Raw genomic sequence first — 26,029 nt, forward strand, 5'->3', positions numbered from 1 at the left:
TGTTTTTTTTTTTGAGAATAAAGAAAAAAAAATTCAGCGGTTCCCTGGATGGCCCTTTTTGCTCTTTCTTGTGTGTGGGGGGTGGTGGGTCAGTTTATGATGTTAGTTGGAAAGTGATGATTATGATGATTTAAGATGAAACGATTTTCATTTTCTATATGCTCATGCAGTTTTTGATCAGTTTCAAAATCCTTTTGGTGTAGAAACAAGGGAATGGGAGTCTGCTGTTTGTTTCCTTGTTAGAACTAGGCTGCAGTGGTTTCTCTTGTCCGCCTCAGGGTTACTGACTCACGTGTCTGCTCATGTCCATGATCTTTTTTTAACTCTGTTTATCATTTATTAGTGATAACTACTTTTTTTTTTCAGAAAGGAGATTTATAATTTAGTCTCTGGAATTTGACTGTTGGGAACACCTAATGTTAGCAACCTAGATATAAGTACATCATAAACTGATTGGGGACAGGGGAATGAATTTTAAACCATCTAAGATGTGTTTAGGAAAACACATATGTGCGTAAGTGTACCTACAAACTGATAAATAAGGAGTTTTTTTTTTTTTTTTTTTGAGTAATACAAAAGAAATGACCAGAAAGGCCATTCAAATTGACATAAAATTTTGACTACAGGCTAGTTTCCAGGACCAGATCTGCTGGTGCTTGGGAGGTTCCTCTTTTTCCCTTAGTATTTAATCATTTGAGTAGGAATAGCACAGAGGCCTTCTGGGTTGGTAGCCCTGATGTCTGAGGTGTTGGGTAACCTCCACAGGAAGTTGTCTCGGCAGTGTTGGTTACTGTCATGGGTTGTTTGATGGTGGCTAACTGCAGTCCTGTAGTTATCCTCCTCCTTGGCCTCACAGGGACCCATGTGGGACCCATGACCTCTAATCATAGTTGCTGGTGGAACCAAATCAGAAAATGTGTAACACTCGATCTGGCTCTTGCCAGGCGCTTAGTGGTGGTTCTGTTTTTTTTTTTGTTTTGTTTTGTTTTTTTCTGCCTTTGGTTATTTTATTTTAAAACAGCTTAAAGTTAACAAGAATGTTTTTGTTACTTTTGTGTATGTGTGTGTGATCATTGGCAAAAATTGATCCCCTTACACAATGTAACATCTCTTTCTGGCCTTATCTGTTGGGTTGTGGAGGGAGTGCTGATCAGAGTTTTAAGTCCAGCTTTGCCAATAATTGGCTGGTTTTGACTTTGGGCCTCAGTTCTTCAGCAAGGCAGTGAAGGACTGGGAAGACGTGAGCCCTTGGACCTTTTCTGGCTGTGAAATACTCTGATGCGAAGGCCTTGTGTTGGGAGGATGGCATTTGAATAATCCCAGTATTGGCCTTTGGACAAACCAGGTTCATGGGCATTTATATCACACACATGGTCTGGCCCTCTCACCCACCCAGGCCAGGCCAAGCTCACACTTCCCTCCTGTCAGTCGCAAAGGGGAGCATGCAAAAAGATGTAAATGGCTTGATACCACCTGTTGGTGCAACTCTAAAGACAGCCCCAGAACAGCCTTTCAGCAGGGGCATCTGGCTCTGTAAAGGGCGACAAATAAGCAACTCTGGCCCAGCGCAGAAGCCTTCAGGGAAGACTGTCCAAAGAGGGTGCTTTTCATTTCCACAGGGTAAGAGCGATTGCAAGGTCTTTGATTTGCTCTTTCACCCAGATGAACTGATCGCTTATGAACTAACGAGAAGGGAAGCAGAAGCAAACAGAAGACCCCTTCCTGAGTTGGTACGTGCCAAGATACCATTTAGTGCCTGCCTTCAGGCCTTCTCTGAACCAGAAAATGTTGATGATTTCTGGAGCAGTGCCCTACAAGCAAAGTCTGCGGGTGTGAAGTAAGTGTGTGTATATGTGGTGGCAGTGGGGTGAGGAGGGGCCTTGAGGGGTGGGGACAGGGGTAAGGGAAAGGGGGTGGGTGTTATTTGTGTCTGTGTGTGTTTGTTCATGTGTGATGGATGGGATTATGGTTCACACACCCTAACTGTCGTCAAACTTCACTTGTGTGAGACCTGTCCAATAAAACAGGCCTGTGATTTATATTACGTGCTAAGGAGGGGTTTTCTTTTTTCTTTTTTTAAATGTAAGGTTGTGATTTATTCTCTATTAGGAGCCTTCCTTCCTTCCTTCCTTCCTTTCTTTCTTCCTTTCTTCCTTCCTTCCTTCCTCCTTCCCTTCCTCCCAACCTTGACCCCACCCCCAGCCCCTCTCTTACCAAGAGGATACAGCCAAGAAACAATCCCCTACCCGCAAATGGCAAGAATGACATTATTCATGAAGAAATTACAAAAATGCTGAAGACAGGCCTCCATATTTAAACTCCATTGTGCTATATTTTAACTCCATAATTAAAGACTTAGTCTAGAACTTGGTTGGCTATGTTTCTCCTTGGAGACTAGGAGTCTCAGGACATCTCAAAGTGGACAGGAAGTCTCCTGAGCATTGTTGAAACGAGCCGCTCAGGGTTTAGTCAGATGTCTTGTTTTCACATTGTGAGGCTGGTTGTCAGACACATAAAAGTTTTTTTTTCTCCGTCTGCCACCCTAGTTGATTTGATGCAGTCGAGTCCTTGCCAACACACTTCATATCACTGCACTTAATTGGAAAAAGAGTGCTTGCAGTGGCATAAAACAAAGGGAGGTCTGAAAGTTTGGCTCCAGGAGTTTTGCTACGTTCAGATATTCTTTGGCCATTTTTCTTTGAGGCTAAGATTGAGATTTTGGCTAACATAAAGGGGATTAAAGGATGGAACGGCTGGTGTGGGCTGTTTTTACCATGGCCTCAATAGCAGTTCAACCTATATATATATATATAAAATTTTATATATAAAATGTATATATATAAAATTTTATATATATACATATAATATATATAAGTATTATATATATTTTTTAGAGGGAGTCTCGCTCTGTCACCCAGGCTGGAGTGCAGTGGCATGATCTTGGCTCACTGCAACCTCTGCCTCCCAAGTTCAAGCAATTCTCCTGTTTCAGCCTCCTGAGTAGCTGGGAATGCAGGCACATGCCACCAAGCCCGGCTAATTTTTGTATATTTTTTTTTGTTTTTTTTTGAGACGGAGTTTTGCTTTTGTTGCCCAGGCTGGAGTGCAGTGGCACAATCTCTGCTTGCCACAACCTACGCCTCCCAGGTTCAAGTGATTCTCCTGCCTCAGCTTCCCGAGTAGCTGGGATTACAGGCCTGTGCCACCATGCCCGGCTAGTTTTGTATTTTTAGTAGAGATGGGGTTTCTCCATGTTGGTCAGGCTGGTCTCGAACTCCCAACCTCAGGTGATCCTCCCTCCTTGGCCTCCCAAAGTGCTGGATTACAGGCATGAGCCACCGCACCCAGCCAATTTTTGTTTTTTTAGTGGAGACAGGGTTTCACTATTTAGCCAGGCTGATCTGGAACTCCTGACCTCAGGTGATCTGCCCTCCTCAGCCTCCCAAAGTGCTGGGATTACAGGCATGAACCACCATGTCCGGCCTCAACCTATATTATTTGTTCTCTGTGAAACCCCTCCCTCAGGCTTCTGCTATGTTTCAGATTGTAGAGTTCATATGTTAAAAACAGGAAAGCAAAAACAATTTATTTCAAAAAGGAAAAACAAGCCATATTTGTTAAAATTATTTTTAAAAAGCTCCCTATCCAAGGGAGATTAATAGTAGTTCATTCAGGTATCAGTTGCCCATCACTAAGTGAGTTTTTATCCTAGGACTGCTCAGTTGTAGGTGTGGGTGGTTGTGTGTGTGTATGTTGTGTATGTGTGCACATGTGCATGTGCCTGTTTGTGTCCTTGCAGATAACAGTTGTTGAGTTCTCAAGTTCAGTGTGAGAGATAATTTATTACAACTCAGAGATATCTTTGGGCAGTTAGACCTCTACACACTCTATTAGTGATGGAAGCAATTTTTTAAAATCATTGACAGTAGGTTTAAGACTGATTCCTCGAACATTTATCCTTTTCTCTTTGTGCTTTTGTTGTGATTCCATTTTGGAGGTGGAAGGTGATTGTGGGGTCTGGAAGCTTCGAAATCCCCAGCATCAGGTGTGAGCTGCCGACTGGGGTATTGTTCACTTGCCTGGCCCTCGGCCACCCCTTTCTGCTCTTCAGAAAAGGGGCCTGGTGTCTTAGAAGTGCAGGATGTGACACACTGTCTGTGCCTGCCTCTCCCTAGAAGTGTCCTGCTAGGAAGCAGCCTTTTCAACACCTGGAAATGGCCCATCTTTAAAATGGGGACTGAGAGGCATTAGCTTTCCACAGAGAGGCAGATTCCCTGAGCCCAGGGCTAGTGGTCAGGAGACCTGGATTCTTCTCCTGTGTCTACCTTCCACGTTAGCTTCTGTCCTGGGGCAAAGTCACCGCCCAGTGATTCCATCTGTAATGGAGAAATGATGCTCTCCTGAATTTCTCCTCAGATGCTACAAAATATTCAGTTGTAGGCAGTGCTAGCATATCTATCTAGAATCCTGGAGGAGGGGTTTCTGCTTCCTATAGTTCTTACAAGGAGCTTTTACCTTTTCCTTTTTGTCTGCATACACACATGCTCTTGCATGTGCCTTTTATATACATGAGAAGAATTAGTACTGGGTGTATCCAGTTGTTAGTAATTGAAAACTGGTCCTTGTGGGAAAGAAAAAGATGATGTTAAAGGTAATAAAGCAACTATCATTTATTGCACATTTGTTATTGCCAGGTCATGTGTTAAGCACTTCCCATCAATTATCATATTTCATCCTCTTAGTAGTCTGAGGTAGGTCCCATTATTTTCTCATTTTATGAAGGAAGAAATAAAAGAAGTAATTGGCCAGTAAGTGGCAGGCATGGGATTCATTCCAGTCTGATTGAGTTCAAACTCTAAATGCCTGCTATCAAGCACCCCCATATTCCTTGTCATGCTTGCTTATCCTTACATTTTTGTAGAGCCTTGCTTTTTCTGTATTATGCTTTATCATGTTTCAAATATTAGTTTTGAGAAAACCAGTTCAGTGGATTTCTAAGAGATGTTATTTTTATTTCCAGCAATGTAGGCTGTGATTCAGTCTATGTTTTGTTAATTTGGGGCCTTGGGTTTTTCTTTTGTTACACCCAGAGCCTGAAGACCAGGAAGAGGCAAAAAATGTCCTAAAGATCTTGGCGGATCTTGCATCAGTATGGGCCAGGCCTTAAGACCCTTCTCTTAAATGATCATGAACAGACCATGTCTGGGAAGAATATTAGTGCTTGGAAAGTTTATTCACCCAGCAAATATTATTGCTCACTTAGTATATTCTAGGCAATGGGTTGAACAAGACCTAATTCCTGCCCTCAGAGAGCTCACAGATGAAGAGTTGAGAGGGAGAGATTTTTACTTACCCATTCTCATTTATAAAGAGAAAAGCATAGTGTGGGGTTGCAGAGCACAGACTCTAGGTAGATGCCCAATGTTTGAATGCCCAGTCTAGAACTTATTGGTATGCAACCTTGGCCAAGTGATCTCACTGCCATAAGCCCAGCTTCCCTATCTGTAAACTGGGGATAATAATGGTACTTTCTTTACAGGGTTGGGGTAAGGATTAAGTGAGATAAGCCATGTAAAGTGCTTCACACAGGGCAAATATAGGATGGAGTTGTTATTTCTGTTATGTTTATCTTCGTTTTTTTGTCTTTGATGATATAATTTGAGTGTGGTGGATTAATGGTCATATTTTCAACCAGTAGACAGGAAGATTATGGTTTTTTTTAGTTGTTAGGTTTTCAATACTGTAGACATCTTAATGTCTTAATGTCAGGAAGAGGTACAGTTTATATTTCTTTCTCAATAAAATCTTTATCGTATTTTTGCCTTAATTGTGATTTAGTGAACAATCAATATATTTTAAATAATGCTAACAGGTTGTTAACAACAACACAGTATTGTTGTTGGGACATATTCTAAGCACTTTATATGTCTTAAATCATTTAATTCCCATAACAGCTCTTTGAAGAAAATTTGCTGTCTATCTAGATCTCTTTGAATGATTTACATTCTAATGATCTTTATTTAAAACATATCATTTTTCAAGAAATATTTTAATTCCAGAAATTAATTTTAGAAATAAAAGAATAAGCTGAGCATAATTTATAACTGTGCTAGATTTAACTAACTTGATGTCCCCAAACTGCAATAAATGAATGCAAAGCATAACTTTTGAGATTGATTTGAACAGATATATATTGAACAGTTACTACATGTGAGCGATTCAACTTGAGACCCTATAGAGATTACAAAGATGAATAAAGAATGTTTTACCCAATAGGGCAAATATTATGTGAACACCATCTAAATCTACTTTCTGGTACTTTTAGATTGGCGGCTACCTATAACACAGTGATGTGTTAAATTATCCCTGCCCCAACCTTGAGTTATTCCACTACCGCTATTATGGTATTACAGCTAACACTCCGCCTAGATACTGACCACAGAGCAGCTTCAAGAGTCTCAGGGATCCTGAGTCATATTTTGGAAATTATTGGTTTACCAATGTCTTTTGGTTGATTTCACTGTTATGTATTTTCCAGATTTTAAGCTAATATGGTAGGAAGAGTAGGTAAGAAAAAGAACATTTTTACATTAAAATATCATGGCCGGGTGCCGTGGCTCACATCTGTAATCCCAGCACTTTGGGAGGCCAAGGTGGGTGGATCACCTGAGGTTAGGAGTTTGAGACCAGCCTGGCCAACATGGTGAAACCCCATCTCTACTAAAAATACAAAAATTAGCTGGGCATGGTGGCAGGCACCTGTAATCCCAGCGACTCAGGAGGCTGAGGCAGGAGAATCACTTGAATCCGGGAGGCAGAGGTTGCAGTGACCCGAGATCACGCCATTGCACTCCAGCCTGTGCAACAAGAGCAAAACTCTGTCTCAAAATAATAATAATAATAATAAATATATATATGTGTGTGTATATATATATATATATGTGTGTATATATATATATATATATGTATATATATAAAATATCAGACAGAGTTTGTTGTTTTTTTGGTGCAGTTGAGGACTTGGTGACATTTAAATAAGAATAATGTGTATTACTGCTTCTCAGAAGATAGAAAAACCTAATTAGAGATAATATATAATTTCTGGAGAGTGAGCCTGGCTAATAGTAGATTAGTTGCTTGGGATGATAAAGCTCCTGTTTTCTGAATTGCCTTTATTCTTCTACCAACTTTGTAATGGAGAATTTGAGATACAGGGAATTTAAATAACTTGCCTGGAGGTAAAATACAGATAAGTGACAGTTCAATTCAGCATCCAAGGCTTTATAGCTTTTACCTCTTTCATGACAAAATAATCATGCTAATTCCTTAGGTATATACAATACTTTCTAGTGCGCCAAGCGGTTTCACATCATTTCATGAACATTGCACGGCCTGGCAGGTAGACATGATTAGTAAGTCCATTTTGTAGATGGATCAGGGAGTGTCAGTGGTTTGCCCAGATTTGGAGTGAATGAAGTGGCATTTTCAAGACCCACATCCACATCGTTTGACTGTTTTTTGCCCCGTGTTCTGTCCCTGCGCTGTGCCTTTTCTCTGACACTAGGGGGAAGCAATACATTTGCATTTGTTTTCTAACAGAAGATGCATTACAAATAGAAGGCAGTGACTTAGATTTGAAAAGTGGAATAGGGGAGGATATTCTAGAATTTTTTATTTTAAAAGGTATCTGTGATACCTATAAACAGCTCATTTTCTTTTTTACATATACCTACCACACCCACATTGACTACAAATAGAAATGGTTGTTAAAAACAAAATGATAAATGTGGAGTGAATGAGCTGGAACTAGGGTATGAATTTGGTGTACAGGTTGAACAGTCTGTGTATAAAATTGCCAAATCCATGCCCAGGAAATTGAGCCTTTCTGAAAGTTTGAAGAGGATTCAAGATACTGGTAATGTGTATTAATTTTAAACTTCAAGGCCCAGATTCAGATTTTTTGGATACTTATCCCATAATATGTCTACCCCTAGGATCCATGTGGCCATGGATTAAGTACCGCAGTATTTTAATGAGGCCCTGGCATTTCCAATAGTCAACCTCAGCCAAAGTTGCAGTAAGCCCTTCGTCCGCCAACTCTGCGCTATAAGACAGTGACTCTGTGTGGAAGTGGAAGTGGAGGTGGGGGTGTTTCAGGATCACCTGGGGAGACTTTTCAAACCCCACATACATGTATACCAAGCATGCATGCTGTAAACAGTTAAAACTATGTATACTAAACTCTAGCAAGGATTTCAGAAAAAATAAATGGTTGAAAAGCACTTTTCAGAAATATAGAACACCACAGCAAAGTAAAAGTAACAATTTTGAAACAGGTCCAAAAGCATTCTTTTTTTTTTTGAGATGGAGTCTCACTCTGTTGCCCAGGCTGGAGTCCAGTGGCATGATCTCAGCTCACTGCATCCTTTGCCTCTGGGGTTCAAGTGATTCTCCTGCCTCAGCCTCCCGAGTGGGGATTACAGGCGTGCCCCAATCCCCACTAATTTTTGTATTTTTGTGCCTGGCTAATTTTTGTATTTTTAGTAGAGACGGGGTTTCACCATGTTGGCCAGGCTGGTCTTGAACTCCTGACCTCAGGTGATCTGCCCACCTCGGCCTCCCAAAGTGCTGGGATTACAGGCGTGAGCCACCGCACCTACCCAAAAGCATTCTTAAACGATAACATTCTACATTAAACATTTTCTTCTTGTGAAGAGGCCAGGACAAATGAGCAGGGGAGAGCGAATGTGTGTCCACTTACATGTCTGTGTTTGCATGTTCCTCCTCTTCAGTTCAGCCATTGGAATGGCCAGGTGTGCCTCAGACAAAGTTGATATGCTTTTTGAACTGTATTCACAATTCTTATTGCCTTGTTTCATTGATATATCCCCTTGTGTTTCCCAGAACATCTCGCTTTGCTTCATTCCCTGAATACTTGGTAGTGCAGATAAAGAAGTTCACTTTTGGTCTTGACTGGGTTCCCAAAAAATTTGGTAGGTATCTTTTGCGTGCTTTTGCTTAAAACATCAAATGAGCCATTTAAACAACATGGCATGTGAAAGAGCCCATGTAGTTGGCTGCCACAAACAGTTCCATTTCATTCCATCATTCTCACCTTTCTGTTTTGAATCAGAGTATATGATAAGAACTGACAATAAAAATTGCCATCTGCTTACCCACCCCTCCAGTTATGGTTTCTGGAATGACCAAATTCTAAGAGTGTAAACAGAATCCTCACATTGTCAAATAAACAGTGCTTTCCAAACTTTAATGTGCATATGAATTATCTGGGATCTTGGTTAAAATGCAGATGCAGATTGGGCAGGTCTGGAGTGGGCCTGTGATTCTGTGTTTCTAACAAGCTCCCACGTGATGCTGATGCTGTTGGTGCTGCTGGCCCACAGGCCACACTTTGAGCAGCCAGTGGTTGAAGATGCAGTCTCCTCATAGGATCTCTCCTCTGCCTCTGAGCAGGCAGGTGTGGCTAATGACATTCACTTAATAAAGTAGAAAAAAAGCCAGTTGCATTAGACAGTAAAACAAAAGGATGTGATTTTGGCTTCATGAGGCTTTCTTCGTGCTAATTTTTAAAGTTCCTGACCATTGTTAGAGGTTAATTTTCCAGACGATACATAAAAGCCTTTCTCCAGCATTAAGATCTAATACAAAGGGTGTTACTAGGTTGTCCTCAGTGGTGTGGAAGAATGTACAGTTTCTCAAGCAAGAACCTTGGACTATTTGCCAGTCTTTTAAAGTTTTTATGTTTTTAAGTACTTAAGAAAAAACCCAACTCAATCTTACGCTGGTTAACTAAGCACTCGTCTGAAGGGGATAGGTAAAAAGGATGTAGAATCGGCTGGAGTGATTTCCTAGAGACCTCCGGCACTAACAGTTACGCAGCACTTGTTTGCCACGTGAAATTGTGCTGGGCTGTTACTGATCCTGCAGGAGATCCTCCCTTTTCCTGGCAGAATAGTTTTGTGAGCAGGGGAAGGCAGAGGGCAGGATGCTGACCACTCAGCTTTTCTTCCATGGACCTGAAAAGCACCTGAGAGAAAAAACTTTCTGGCTCTGAAGGCTTTGAATTGCCTTGGAAATAGTTTGCTTATTTTATTTGTCCTTGGAATTTCTGTAAAGGAATACAAAATTTGAATCATATTTCATTGACTTGCTGAATTTTAAGGAACCTCAAAATGTTCTTGAATGAACCTGAATTTTTCTCTTAAGGAGCAGTTGTATTGATTTTGATGGTGAGTTTTTATGTTTGGTTTTGCTGCCCCCTGAAATTTAAATTTGCTTTTTTAAACTAAGCTTTGTTCTTTGGGTTGTTGTTTTAAAGTAGGATTTATGTACCTGGTATCATAACTGATTTTGGGGACAGTATTTTCAGGTTGTTTGCTAGCCCAAAAGATGTATCCTGTACCAATATTTGAACCCATTTTTCATTATTATCATCTGAATATGTGCAGCACTAAATCTTGACAGGGTATTAGTCTGACAAATTTTGTATTTGAATAAGTCAACACAATAACAGAGCCAAGAAGTTAAAAAAAGTACTGTAAAGATAATACACTTGAGATTCAATTAATTTCTTTAAAACTTCATTATTTATTCAATATCTTAGTTAGAATATCCACAGTACCCATCATGATCTGAGAACGGGTTGCATCATCAAATGGGGTTGCAAACTCAAATGCCTAACAAGGACAGGGTAATCTAAATGAAAGAACTGGGCTGAGTATAGGAGGCTTGTAGCTAGCTATCTTGGTCTTGCTTGGGTGTTCCCACTTTGAATAAAAAGATGAACTAGAAAAACTGCCATAAGACTCAGAGTAGCACAAATATGATGCTCAGGGAGCAACAAGGAGCAGTGGGGTCTGTGTCAGACTAACATTGCACCATTGTCTAGGGTAGAAACTGAAGATCAGCTCCCGATGGTTGTTACCATATGAGAATGTGCTACAGCTTTATGCTTTTCAAAATAAGCTGGAAATCTGGATTTTACCTTAAATCTTCTGATTTAAACATTGGAATTTGTTGTCCACACTTTTAAAATATCAAACAGATTGTGTCTGGGCCACACATGGTCTATGGGCTGCCAATTTGTAACCTCAGGCTTAAATGATTTGCTCTTGTTTGGGGTGAAATCCTGCCACCCACTGTATTTTTCCCTGGGTTCTCCACTAATATCTGGTTAGTCTTCATGAACCTGCTGGTCGAGCAACATATTCTAGGGAATTGAAAAACATCCCTTAGCTCTGTCTAGACACATGCATGTAGAGTTATAGTGCTGGTATTATAATAAGGTGATTATGGAGAGCCCAGTGGATATAATCTCTCTCATTTTGCAGATGTTTCTATTGATATGCCAGACCTACTTGATATCAACCATCTCCGAGCCAGGGGGTTACAGCCAGGAGAGGAAGAACTTCCAGACATCAGCCCCCCCATAGTCATTCCTGATGACTCAAAAGGTACCATCTCCTGCCAGGAGAATATGCGCTACCCTCCCACCCTGTTCTATAGGAACAGTCTCTTTCTTCCACCACTGTGTTGCTGCTACCACCACCACCCATTGGTGGTCTAGCTGCCTTGCTGTGATGTAACCCACCACCGACACAGGAGGGAGGCATGGCTGCAATGGTAAACATAAAATAGACATTGTAAGAGGCACAGACCCATCATGTGTGGTTGAAATGGACAGTTTTTTTTTGTAGGCTCTTAGTCTAGGGAAGCTGTGTCATTCTTGGGAGTACCTTTGGACAACCTAAAGGGGAAATTGAACAGCGTGAGTTGGTTTTAAAACTGTGATGGCATCTCACCTCCCCAGCTTTTTTACTGCATCATAGAAAGGAAGAGATTTGAGTTTCTCTTTGACTCTGTGACCCCATCACTGGTCATTGTTCAGAACACATAACATTTTTTTTTTTTTGAGGTGGAGCCTTGCTCTGTTGCCCAGGCTGGAGTGCAGTGGCACGATCTCGGCTCACTGCAACCTCCACCTCCTGGGTTCAAGCAATTCTCCTGCCTCAGCCTCACGAGTAGCTGGGACTACAGGCGCGTGCCACCATGCCTGCTTAATTTTTTTTTTGTAGTATTAGTAGAGATGGGGTTTCACCTTGTGAGCGAGGATGGTCTCGATCTCCTGACCTCGTGATCTGCCCGCCTCAGCCTCCCAAAGTGTTGGGATTACAGGCGTGAGCCACTGTGCCCAGCCTCATAACTTTTTAATGGAAAAGGATATGCCAAAAATAGTTGTCTCACCTTTGTGAGTTCAAAAACAGTGTCAGAAAAATCTTGGTTTAACTATTAGCTCAGTTATCCTGATGAAATCAGTTTCATTCTGGCTTTGTTTGCTCACCTGTTTACTGTTTATCTTCCTAATGAGTAGATTAACTCATAACGACAGAGCACTCTGGGACCCTCTGCTAAAGGTTTTCCATCAGTTAAGCAGTGAAGGTGACCATGGTCAGGTATAAAGGAAGGGTAAGATGAGTCTAGAAGGAGCAAGATAGGATTCAGATAGGCATCTGTATTATGTTGTTCTCTAACGCTGGGTCAAATGCTAAATTATAGAGAAAGAGCAGAGAAGGGACATTCTAGGTCACGTAGTACAGGTGGTTCATTAAAGGGGTCAAAGAAGGATCAGCATGGGCATCAGATAAATACAAGATGGTTTATTAGTACTGCTCCAGCTCTCTCTGATGTTCATAATAGAATCTTTGGTTTGTAGTTATACAGAGATCTTAGAAATACAGAGAGGGCCAGGCGCGGTGGCTCACATGTATAATCCCAGCACTTGGGGAGGCCAAGGCGGGCAGATCACGAAGTCAGGAGATTAAGACCATCCTGGCCAACATGGTGAAACCTCACCTCTACTAAAAATACGAAAGTTCACTGGGCGTGGCCACACTTGCCTGTAATCCCAGCTACTCAGGAGGCTGAGGCAAGAGAATCGCTTGAACCAGGGAGTCGAGCCGAGATTGCGCCACTGCATTCCAGCCTGGCGGCAGAGCGAGACCCTGTCTCAAAAAAACAAACAAACAAACAAACAAACAAACAAACAAAAAATACAGAGAGAGGCTGGGCGCAGTGGTGCATGCCTGTAATCCCAGCCCTTTGGGAGGCTGAGGTGGGAGGATCACTTGAGCCCAGGAATTTGAAACCAACCTGGTCAGCATAGTGAGACACTGTCTCTACAAAAAATAAAAAATTTAAAAGTTTGCCAGGCGTGGTGACTGGTGACATGTGCCTGTAGTTCCAGCTACTCAGTAGGCTAAGCCAGGAGGATCACCTGAGCCCAGGAGGTCGAGGCTGCAGTGAGCCATGATTGCTGTACCACCCTCTGGGTCTGGGCAACAGAGTCAGACACTGTCTCCAAAAAAAAGTTTTTTTTAAAGAAAAAATAATAGAGACATAATAGGGAAATAGTAGTTTGTTAGGATAATAATCAAAGCATCATGTTTTAACTAACCTAAACGCCTGAAAGCTATTACTTTCTCTTATTACTGAGGCTGGGGTGGTCTGCGTGTGGTTGAGGGATTGACAACAGTGTGTGGTCCCCAGGAGTGGGGAGGGCATTGGAAATGCCCTGGATCAATGGGTTTTCTTTTTTCTAAAACTCCTCAACATGGTTTGGTCTCATTTTCTGTCCTCTCCCTTAATTTCCAGATCGCCTGATGAACCAATTGATAGACCGTATGTATCTTTAAAAATGTTTCTCAATGTCCTACTGTTGTTATTAATCTGATGAATTTGTCTGTGAAAGTTCAGTAAAGAGGCATTGTTCTGTACGTGTGTGTGTGCAGCTTTTCCCAGGTGGGAACGGCTCTGTGTCTGCTAGTCAGTGACATGCTGATCAGGTGGCCCATGGGGCTCAGGAGAGTGACCATTAGCATGAAGCTAACTAGCCCTGGGTCAGAATCTTGGCCTGTGGTTTATGACTGTGTGACCTGGAGTAATTTACTTACCTTCTCTGAGCCCCAGTTTCCTCATGTGTGAATGGGGCTAGCCATGGCTACTGAGTAGACCTCTTTGTGCAATGGTGGCACAGTGGTCAGTCACTTTTTCCTATCCTGCTGTCAGACACATAATGAAGACACATAGCTGACAGGACACAATAGTGTTAATTAATGCTCTCAAGGATATTAGTTTGATTGGATTGTTTGTTAATTTTATAGCCTTTTAGTTCCTAATCCTGTGGGAGTTGATACTCTTGGTTTTCTACAAAGAACATAAAAAATAAACGATAGACAATATTTAGATATTAACTAGGAGAAAGAGAAAGCATTTAACACTAGATACTCTAAATCTTTTGGTCTGTAAAGTCTTTCAAGACAGTAACTAATATTAATTTAGGAATCTGAATCTTACACATTGCGAATGATTGATCATGTAGCTTAGACCTCTATGTCTCCTTTCTTGAAACAATTATGTTTTGCCGATTGTTAGAGGAGTAATTAGAGTCAGCAAGGGTCAGCCTGCCATGATCTTCACATGCAACCTGGTAGGACAATGGGTAGCCTGGGACATACTGTTCCCACTGCGAATAATCTAATTGTAATAGCCACTGCTAAAGTTTTTGAATGCTTACCATGGATCATTTAGCATTTATTGTTCCATAAATTCTTTCAACGGTCTACAACTCTACTTTTTATAAAACAAGGTCCCAGATCTCACTGGGACAGGTCTACAACTCTACTTTTTATAAAAAAGGTCCCATATCATGGTAGGAAGGGCAAAGCAGGTGACATTTTATAGAGGATCAAACTTCCTAGATCTAGGAAGTTTTGGAGACCGAAGACCTGGGACCAGAACTAGGGCTAGGAGTTACCTTGCTTCTCATGCCACTAGACTATCCTGGCATGTGAGAGGTTTGCTGGTTGCGCCTGATGCTGTGGAGAGCTGGCCTGCAGGATCTCACTCCATGGGAAGTGATGGGCATTTGGAATTAACTGTGCCAGAGGAGCCTGCCTCTGACGGTGAGAGCATGCAGCCATTTTTTAGTGTTGCTGATTTGGCCATTTATTTCCTCCTGGATCTAAGCATGCTGTCTTACCAACAATCAGGAGAAAATAAAACTATCTGTCATGAACTGACATTTGCATCCTACCTTTCTTAAATTTTTTTTTTTTTTGAGACGGAGTCTTGCTCTATCACCCAGGCTGGAGTGCAGTGGCGCGATCTCGGCTCACTGCAAGCTCCGCCTCCCGGGTTCACGCCATTCTCCTGCCTCAGCCTCCCGAGTAGCTGGGACTACAGGCGCCTGCCACCACAACCGGCTCATTTTTTGTATTTTTAGTAGAGACGGGGTTTTACCGTGTTAGCCAGGATGGTCTCCATCTCCTGACCTCGTGATCCACCCGCCTCGGCCTCCCAACGTGCTGGGATTACACACGTGAGCCACCGCGCCCGGCCCTTAAAATTTTTAAAAGAATAACTTTATTTTCTCATTACAAAAGTAAAAAGTCATTTAGAGATTATGGAGTAGGCAGAAGAATCATCCATGGTTCCATCACCCATCTATAACCACTGTTGACATTTGGAGTATATCCTTCTATTATTGTGCCTGGCTCACTTTATTTTTCACAAAAATGGAATTACACATTTCTTTTTTTTTGAGACGGAGTGTCACTCTGTCACCCAGGCTGGAGTACAGTGGCACAGCCTCGGCCCACTGCAACCTCTGCCTCCCGGGTTCAAGCAATTCTTCTGCCTCAGCCTCCCGAGTAGCTGGGACTACAGGTGTGCACCACCACGCCTGGCTAATTTTTTGTATTTTTAGTAGAGATGGGGTTTCACCATGTTAGCTAGGCTGGTCTCGAACTCCTGACCTCGTCATCTGCCCGCCTTGGCCTCCCAAAGTGCTGGGATTACAGGCGTGAGCCACCGCGCCCAGCCGGAATTATGTATTTCTGGTCTAATATTATAAACATGTATGTTTGAGATTATATCTCTATCTATATATCTTTTAAGACTAAAGTCTTAAAAGTTGTTGAAAGGTGCCCTGCAGAGTTTCATAGTTTCTTTACTATAGGATTCTTTATTACAGAACTTTTGAGTCTTCACTGTGCTAATGCACATCATGAATTTCTAAGGAGAGGATAGACTATGTAGGTTTAAAAACTTATCTGATCACAGAAACTCCGTTTTTGATTCAATGGTTACATCTCTTAGAATACTAGGATCCTGTAGAACACAATTTGGGAATCACTGTTGTCCAACATTATTGTTTTCTGAACATTTGACCTGGATAGGATGTTCTATGTATCTTCCTTGTAAGAGAGCACTTTGGTAAATGCATTTTTTTTTTGAGACGGAGTCTCACTCTGTCACCAGGTTGGAGTGCCGTGGCGCGATCTCAGCCCACTGCAACCTCTGCCTCCCGGGTTCAAGCGATTCTCCTGCCTTAGCCTCCCAGGTAGCTGGGACTACAGGTGCACGCCACCACCCCCAGCTAACTTTTGTATTTTTAGTAGAGATGGGGTTTCACCATGTTGGCCAGGATGGTCTCCATCTCTTGACCTTGTGATCCACCTGCCTCGGCCTCCCAAAGAGCTGGGATTACAGGCGTGAGCCACTGCACCCACCTGGTAAATGCATTTTCAATACAAAATTTTTGTAGAACAGCTATTTCTCTTCTCGGTTCTTTTCCTGATTGACAGAAAATTGACAGAAGTTTTAGTAGAGTCCTCAGGACATGGAAAACCCAAGGGATATATTTTATATTCCTGTTTTTTCTCCTCTTTTGGTGTAATTTGAGAACAGTGTGTATGTGTATGTATCTATACATACACACAGATTTACACATACATCTCTATCAGTATCTATATGTTATTAACACAAGAAAACAAAAGCCTCTGTATCTGAGCCCAAGTTACTTTGTAAAGCCGTCTCTTAATGTTTTTTTTTTTTTTTTTTTGAGACGGAGTCTCACTCTTTCGCCCAGGCTGGACTGCAGTGGCGCTATCCCGGCTCACTGCAAGCTCCGCCTCCTGAGTTCATGCCATTCTCCTGCCTCAGCCTCCCGAGTAGCTGGGATTACAGGTGCCCACCACCACGCCCGGCTAATTTTTTGTATTTTTAGTAGAGACGGGGTTTCACCGTGTTAGCCAGGATGGTCTCGATCTCCTGACCTCATAATCCGCCCGCCTCGGCCTCCCAAAGTGCTGGGATTACAGGCGTGAGCCACCACGCCTGGCCTCTTAATGTTTTAAGCTTGTATAATTAAAAAACGAACTTTTTCCTTCTATACTTAACATTTGCACTCTCCGTTTTCCAGAGCTGCTTGCTTCCTGTGATTGCCAGATGTATCTATAGGCCTGCAGTAACTTTCTGTGAGGTTTAAGGAACAGGCTTTTAGGCCTGTAGATAGAGCTTTCTGTTCAAGTTTCAGTCATAGGAGAGGCTGTCATAGAGGTCTTGAGAATGCTCTGAAATCGTTCTGGGAATACACTAAATCTCCCCATATGAAATTAGAGAATCGTTTTTCATTGCTTGCATTGTCCAGGTAATTAACCTGGTTCCTATGTGGGTCAAAGATATAAACTTAGCCCAAATAGCTTTAATATTTGTGTGGCTTAAAACAAAACTAAACAAAGTAAAACCATTATCTACACCCAACAGAATAGCACTTTCTTTGGGTAGCATGTGGATAGGAGAGTGGAGAGTAGCTAAGACAAGAAGCGACAGTTTCCTCTTTCACACTAGAATATCCTGTTGTGCTCTGTAGCATCAGACATCGATGAGTCATCAGTGATGCAGCTGGCCGAGATGGGTTTCCCGCTGGAAGCATGTCGCAAGGCTGTGTACTTCACTGGAAATATGGGCGCCGAGGTGGCCTTCAACTGGATCATTGTTCACATGGAAGAGCCAGGTAGGTGGCGAGAAAATGGAATGGCTTTGGAGTCTGATGTGACCCTCAGTGATGCTGAGTCCTGGTCCTTCCAAGGTCCCTGTGGATGTATCCCTAGAAAATGACTTTATAGTTCCTAATCTCCTGCAGTGGAGGAGAAAGCCAGTCTTTTTCTTCTTCTTTTTTTTTTTAAAAACAGCAGCTTTAGGCCAGGCGTGGGGGCTCATGCCTGTAATCCCAGCACTTTGGGAGGCCAAGGCAGGCGGATCACGAAGTCAAGAGATGAAGACCATCCTGGCCAACATAGTGAAACCCCATCTCTACTAAAGATACAAAAATTAGCTGGGCATGGTGGTGCGTACCTGTAGTCCCAGCTACTCAGGAGGCTGAGGCAGGAGAATCGCTTGAACGCAGGAGGCGGAGGCTGCAGTGAGCCAAGATTGCACCACTGCACTCTGGCCTGAGTGACAGAGCGAGACTCTGTCTCAAAAAAACAAACAAACAAAAAAACAACAAAAAAAACCCCAAACAGCTTTATTGAGATATAATTCATCCCTTTAAAGTGTATAAGTCAGTGGCAAAAAGACCAATAGAAAGATACGGGATATACTTCTAACTAAGCGATGATGAAAATTTGAAATGGAAACATGGGCATGAAGAAATGGAGGATGTTTAGTTAGCTTTTTCTTTTATCTACTTTATTAAGCTATAATGCATATATTCATCTGTTTAAAGTGTACATTTCAATGGTTTTTCATAAATTCACAGTTGTGTAACCATTACCACTATCAAATTTTAGAACATTTTGTACCCTTCAAAAGAAATCTCATACATAATAGCAGTCACTCCCCATTTTCCTGCTCACCCCAGCCCCTGGCAACCACGAATCTGTTTTCTGGATCAAGGGATTTGCCTGTTTTGGACATTTCATATAAATGGAGTCATATAATAAAAGGTCGTTTGTGTTTGGTTTCTATCACTTAGCATAGTGCTTTCAAGATTCATCTATGTTGTAGCATGTGTCAGTACTTCATTCCTTTTTACGGTAAAATAATAGTCTGTTGGGTCGGGTTTGGTGGCTTACGCCTGTAATCCCAGCACTTTGGAAGGCCAAGGCAGGAGGATCATTTGAGGTCAAGAGTTCAAGACCAGCCTGGCCAACATGGTGAAACCCCATCTCTATTAAAAATGCAAAAATTGTCTGGGCATGGTGGCGGGCACCTGGAGTCTCAGCTACTTGGGAGACTGAGGCAGGAGAATTGCTTGAGCCCAGGAGACGGAGGTTGCAGTGAGCTGAGATCACGCCACTGCCCTCCAGCCTGGGCAACAGAGTGAGACTCCATCTAAAATAATAATAATAATAACAATAATAATAGTCTATTTTATGGGTATACTATATTTTATTAATCTTTATCAGTTCATGGACATTTGGGTTATTTACATTTTTTGGCTTTTATGAACAATGCTGCTATAAACATTTTTTACAAGTTTTTGTGTGGATGGACATTTATTTTTACTTCTCTTGAGTGGAATTGCCATGTCATATGGTAACTCTATATTTAATTTTGAGGAACGACCAAACTGTTTTACACAGTGGCTGAACCATTTTACATTTCCACCAGTAATGAATGTGAGTTCCAATTTCTCCATATCATCACTAACCCTTATTATTATCTTTTTTATCATACCCATCCCAGTGGGTATGAAGTGGTATCTTGTGGTTTTGGTTTGCATTTTCCTAATGACTAATGATGTTGAACAACTTTTCGTATGTTTATTGACTGTATATCTTATTTGGAGATATGTCTATTCAAATTCTTTGCCCATTTCTAATGAAGTTATCCTTTTATTATTGAGTTCTAAGAGTTCTTTACAAATTCCAGATACGAGTTTCTATGAGATATATGATTTGTGTTTTCCCCCCCATTCTGGTGTTTTTTCACTTTCTTGATGGTATCCTTTGAAGCACAAACATTTTTAATTTTGATGATGTCCAATTTATCTTTTTTTTCTTTTATCACTTGTGCTTTTTGTGTTGTAAATAAGAAACCATTGCCTAATCCAATGGCAAAGACTTACTCCTGTGTTTTCTTCTAAGATTATTATAGTTTTAGCTCCTATATTTAGGTCAATGAGCCATTTTGAGTTAATTTTGTGTATGATGTGAGGTGAGGGTCTGACTTTATTCTTTTGTATGTGGATATCCAGTTGTCCCAGCATCATTTGTTGAAAATAATGTCCTTTCCCCACTGAATGGTCTTGTTGAAAATCAGTTAACCACAGGTATATGGTTTTATTTCTGGAATCTCAATTCTATTTAATCGATCCATATGTCTGCCTATATACCAGTACCAGACTGTCTTTTTTTTTGAGACAGAGCCTTGCTCTCTTGCCCAGGCTGGAGTGCAGTGGTGCAATCTCAGCTCACTGCAACCTCCGCCTCTTGGGTTCAAGCGATTCTTGTGCCTCAGCCTCCCAAGTAGCTGGATTACAGGTGTGCACCACCATGCCCTGCTAATTTTTGTATTTTTAGTAGAGACAGGATTTTGCCATGTTGGCCAGGCTGGCCACGAACTCCTGACCTCAGGCGATCCACTCGCCTTGGCCTCCCAAAGTGCTGGGATTACAGGCATGAGCCACTGCGCCTGGCCCAGACTGTCTTGATTATTATAACTTTGTAGAATCATGTTTTTCCTTGTTAGTGTTGTTTCAGGACAAAAAAAAAAAAAAAAAAAGGAAAAGACTTGGGTGTGGTTATTTTTCTCAGATTTTGCTGAGCCGCTGACCATGCCTGGTTATGGAGGGGCAGCTTCTGCTGGAGCCTCTGTTTTTGGTGCTTCTGGACTGGATAACCAACCTCCAGAGGAAATCGTAGCTATCATCACCTCCATGGGATTTCAGCGAAATCAGGCTATTCAGGCACTACGAGCAACGGTGAGCATGAGAGACTGTGTGTGTGTGTGTGTGTGTGTGTGTGTGTGAATTTATTTCTGTAGCAGTTGAGACTTTCCAATGTACTTTGATCATTTTGATTCATGTTTGATTCATCTAACTGTGAATCTCATCATAGCCCATAAAGATTTATTTGCATATTATAAATATAAAGCTAAAATGAATGATTTTCACACAGCGAATGAGATAAATAAATCTGGGGTAATATGAGCAAACTGAAAGAAACTTGATATCATCTTGAATGTTTGTTAACAGGGGGTCAGAAATTTGACTTGGAGGCTGCTTGTGGCCCTAGAGGAAAGAGGGATGCATGAAATTCCATGTTCAGTAAGAAGTCCTTTAGGAGATAGAATGCTTTTCTGATACCAAGACCTTGGGTAAATGTCTCTTAAAAGTCCTCATAGAAAACTGAATGGCTCCTTGGAATTCTCTGCTGCTGTTTCTCTCTGCAGAAAGAGAAGGTTCTTCTGGTAGCCATGAACTTCTTGATACCAAGAAACAAGGGACTCTGAAACTACAGGGTAGACAATTCCCTTCTGCAGTGCTGATATCTGTTTAATCTTGAGGGAAGGTACTTAAAAAACAAAACAAAACCCATCCTTCCTGGTCACACCATAATCCATTTTTGAGTAGATATCTGCTCTCAATTACTTCTTGCCTATCCTGATGGGGTGCCTGCTAGGATCCGTTGCTGAGGTCACAGTGGCTCTTGATTGTCTCATGAGGATGTGGCTAGGACAACCTGTCTCCCTTTAAGATGATTAAAATATCTCAACCAGAGTTTGTTTTACTTGGGGTACTTTCTTGTGCTCCACTCATTTTATTTGCCTGACTGTTTCATTAGAGGTTTTATATCTATACAAATTCTTTAACCTGCCAGAAATATCACAAGCTGAGAAAGATGGAAATATTTTTATGGTCAATTAGTTTGAAGTACATGGAGTTCAGTTTAAACAATTATACTTAACTAATCAGTGTTGTTGTCATTAATCAAGATATTAATCTTGTCTTTACTGGAATTCAAACATTTTACCAACATTCCAGGAGAGAAGGCTCTAACATAATACCACACTGGCATCCCTCTATTGTTCAGTTATCTGCAGAAAATACAGTTGGTAGAGAAGGTAGTGTGTGCAATTAAAGTGGCTTTAGAAAGAGCTGCACTTAAACAAATGCCATACCCTTGGTTATTCCACACCTATTATTATCAGCATCTTCCTGCAGAAAAGCTGAGCTAACATTGATATAAACTTTGGAATGCTGATCTGCTGCTTAGAACTCTTTTCCAGTGAATCCAATTACAGATGTCAGCTGGGAGACTTGCAGAATGCCATGCCAACTGAACGTGCCTGTCATGCGGAGTCAGAGCTTCTTACTCAGTGGCACTTAGGACTAATTAATTCAGACCTCCTTCCCTATCTGCCTGACATCTAGTTGAAATGGTCAGGACATAGTGAGGCCTGAGGCTGCATGCATTGTAAAAACATCTGTTTCTTTTTTGTTGTTAGAATAATAACCTGGAAAGAGCACTGGATTGGATCTTTAGCCACCCTGAGTTTGAAGAAGACAGTGATTTTGTGATTGAGATGGAGAATAATGCCAATGCAAACATTATTTCTGAGGCCAAGCCCGAAGGACCTAGAGTCAAGGATGGATCTGGAAGTAAGTTCTTGCCTTAGAGGCTGTCTGAGCAGTCAGAACTATACGTTCAGCTCATGCCCTTCCCTCCCACCACAACATAGTCAAGCCTTTGCCATCATTCAAAAGTTAGCACAGATCCCATCTTCTTCGTTTTTTTTTTTTTTCTTTTTTGAGACAGAGTCTCACACTGTTGCCAGGCTGGTGTGCTGTGGCGCGATCTCGGCTCACTGCAACCTCCGCCTCCCAGGTTCAAGCCATTCTCCTGCTTCAGCCTCCCGAGTAGCTGGGATTACAGGCATGTGCCACCACACCCAGCTAATTTTTGTATTTTTAGTAGAGACGGGGATTCACCATGTTGGCCTGGCTGGTCTTGATCTCCTGACCTCGTGATATGCCTGTCTCGGCCTCCCAAAGTGCTGGGATTACAGGCATGAGCCACCATGCCTGGCCAGATCCCATCTTCTTAGAAATGGTGCAGTTTGCCACTTTGCATAGGCCCCGGTGATCTGATAAAGTCATGTCAGAATCATGTTGCTTGGTCATGTTTGTGCCCAAGTTTAGGGCCAACTTTGATTTTGTCTGTTCCTTTGAGGTAAAATTTCTTCATGGACCATGGGAGCTTTTGTCAAAAAGAGAACATTTGTTTTCATGGTAGTGTTTTTTGAGTAGTAGCAAAGTGGTCTCATCCTTGATCATATCGTTACCCGTACCAACTACTAATAATATCCTGAAGGGGTGTCTCAGGATGACAGGAAGAGGCGCCATAGGCCGTTGTTCTGCCTTTTAATAGCAAACACTTATGTATGTCACTATGTGCCAGGCACTGTTCTAAGCACTTTGCATATCAACACTCATGTAATTCTCACTACAACTGATTTTACAGGTGAGAAAATATAAGCATAGAGAGCTTGGGTACCTTGCCAAAGGCCACACAGCTCTTAAGAGATGGAGCCAAGATTCAAACCCAGAATCCTTGTTCTTAACCTTTGTGATATCCTGTTTCTTGGGCTGTCATTGCCTGTAGAATAACATTCAGGCTCTTTAGCTTGGCATTCAGCACCTCCTCCAGTCAGATCCAGGCCACCTGGTCTCCCAGTGTCACTTCTATACTCCCTATACCTGCAGCTGAGATGCCTGGGACTGTAGCCACACTCTTAGCCTACTCAGCTGTCAACAACTCTCTTCTCACTTAACCTGCAGACTCAGGTTAACCCCTATTTGTGAAATGAGCCTTCTCTCCCATCACTGCACACTAAAATTCTCATCATTATTTAGAACTTGGCCACAGATTCCATTTCTCTGGACTGCCTTCCTAGATCCTTGTCATAATCAGCTCATGCTTACCTCATATGCTAGCAATAATTATACCAGTATGAAAAATACTCCCATTTGTGCCATCTTTAATCCTCACAGTAACCTTATGAGGTACATACCATTATTATCCCCATTTTACAGGTGAAGAACCTGAGATAGAGAAGGCTAAGTAATAGCTTGTCAAGGTCTCATAGCTAGTGATGGATAGAACCACAATTCCAGTGCAGGCAGTCTGCCTCCAGAGCCTGTGCCTGTAGCCACTGTAATGCATTGTTAGTTTTTTTTGGTTTTTTTTTTTTTTGAGACAGAGTCTCACTCCATCACCCAGGCTGGAGTGCAGTGGCACGATCTTGGCTCACTGCAACCTCCACCTCCCAGGTTCAAGCGATTCTCCTGCTTCAGCCTCCCGAGTAGCTGGAATTACAGGTTTGGGCCACCACGCTCCCTTGTTAGTTCTTCTGTTGTTGGAGGTATCAAGTTGATCTTGCAATAAAATTACTTCTGTAGGTATTTGTGTCTCCCATTTGACTAGGAGCTTGCCCAGGGCAGAGGCCATTTGGCTTTTATAAAACTCATGGTGTCTAGCATGGTGCTAGACACATAGAAAGTACTGAGTAAATAACAGTTGTATTTAACTAAATCTACACTAGCAGCATTTGTTCCTATAATCATATAGTGGCAGATTTACTCATTAATGTTCTTTCCAGACCTAACATGTACGTATTCATATACAGATAGAAAGAGACGGTGGGAGGGAACTGTCTTCTTCTTTTTTTTAATATAAAATAGGAATTTCATCACTGAAACTGTTTCAATGCCAACTGGATAAGAAAGGATGAGATGTCGTTCTCCCAATTTCCATACTCATTTAAAGTATCTGGTATTACTTTTCAGAAATTACTAGCTTGCCTAAAATATTTAAAGCTGTAACAGACAGGTTACTCAATAATGTATGAGCAGGATTTATCACTTATTACACATCCATCAGTTCACTGCTTCATTGATTTTCCATAATGGGCATTTCCTTGGAGAGGATGAGTCCCTGCGGAAGGAATTAACCACAAGATGGGGCTGTTGTAAAGCTGCCAAGGTTTGGCTGCAGAGGGAAGGCGGGTCTGATCTTTAGGGTTTCCTTTCTTCTGATGGAGCTCGGAGGCAGCAGCCACTCTCTCACAGATGGTCAGTAATGATAAAGAACAGCCACATCATCTCCTCAGGGCTTACTCTACCTCAGAGTGATCTGTAGATATTCCTGCCACTGCTGGATTTTGAGGTGCATCCTTGAATAGGATGCTGCCAGGTACCCTTTAAGGCACTATGGGTCAACCAAGGGATTGAGGGTGAGAGTAGCGAAGGAGCACTATGAGATGCACTTAGAAATCGCATGCAAGATATGCAGGATATAAAGGCAGTAGTAGATGAAACATTTAATTATGAAGACAGAAAACAGAAACCTAATTTGCCAAATGCATTTTGAGTTTGATTTTACAGAACCACAAATGTTTTCAAAGTAGCTTCCCCAGCACTGTGCCTGGCCCATGGTGAGTGATCAGCAAATAACTGATTGAATGAAGAATTAAGTGAATGCCAGGAGGTAATAGACTTTGATAGCATTTTTGCTGCTTCCACAAAGTTCTATATAGAGGGGTTGGCAGTATACTACTATGTTACATTGCATGAATCAAAGGGAGGGGAAAACATGACTTCCTGTACTTTACTATATTAGCACACAAACTCATATTGTGAGTTGTTGCTTTCTTTTTCCTTTGTAAAAAAATTAACACTTATATTGAAGGATATATATTAATTTTAGCAACTTAAGGAAATATAGATATATGAAAAGACAAAATTAAAAATTACAATCTTACTCCCCGGCAATAATGACAAAATAATGTTTTGTTTATATTCTCTAGACCTTTTTAGACAAATGTATAAAAATGAATATAAATCTAAGGTTGTTTAAATATAACATTCTATTCTATATATACATTGCTATTTTGTGACTTGCTTTTCCTTTAATGTAATTAACATGTGATTAACATGTGATGAGGCTATGATTAGCCTGTGAGTTATGTAGGTGTACATGTATATACATCTATATTGTTGAACATATATTAACAATATTCTATTATAAACATGTACCATAGTTTATATACCTAATTCTAGGTTAATTAGGTATCATTTAAATAAAAGACCACATTATTACAGAAAGAGTTTCAAATAATGAAGATATTTCCACATTCAGAAGATGACCACTATGATTTTTAA

The 26,029-nt window shown here is 41.4% G+C and overlaps 1 protein-coding gene across 6 annotated transcripts in view; it reads left to right on the forward strand.

Moving 5' to 3' along the window:
* USP13 (ubiquitin specific peptidase 13) overlaps window positions 1–26,029 on the forward strand; it is a 136,362-nt gene that overhangs the window by 90,341 nt on the left and 19,992 nt on the right. For 4 of the 6 annotated variants that reach the window (NM_003940.3, XM_017007426.2, XM_017007425.2 and 1 more), the window contains 7 exons: window positions 1,663–1,837; window positions 8,905–8,993; window positions 11,352–11,474; window positions 13,672–13,698; window positions 17,732–17,875; window positions 20,622–20,788; window positions 22,315–22,468. In NM_003940.3, the coding sequence (NP_003931.2) occupies window positions 1,663–1,837; window positions 8,905–8,993; window positions 11,352–11,474; window positions 13,672–13,698; window positions 17,732–17,875; window positions 20,622–20,788; window positions 22,315–22,468 (879 nt within the window). The remainder of the gene's footprint in view (window positions 1–1,662; window positions 1,838–8,904; window positions 8,994–11,351; window positions 11,475–13,671; window positions 13,699–17,731; window positions 17,876–20,621; window positions 20,789–22,314; window positions 22,469–26,029) is intronic. The other 2 variants (XM_011513269.2, XM_047449154.1) reach the window with 1 other exon arrangement.

The sequence above is a fragment of the Homo sapiens genome, chromosome 3 (assembly GCF_000001405.40).
Source record: "Homo sapiens chromosome 3, GRCh38.p14 Primary Assembly".
In the NCBI taxonomy this organism is placed as follows: Eukaryota; Metazoa; Chordata; class Mammalia; order Primates; family Hominidae; genus Homo; species Homo sapiens.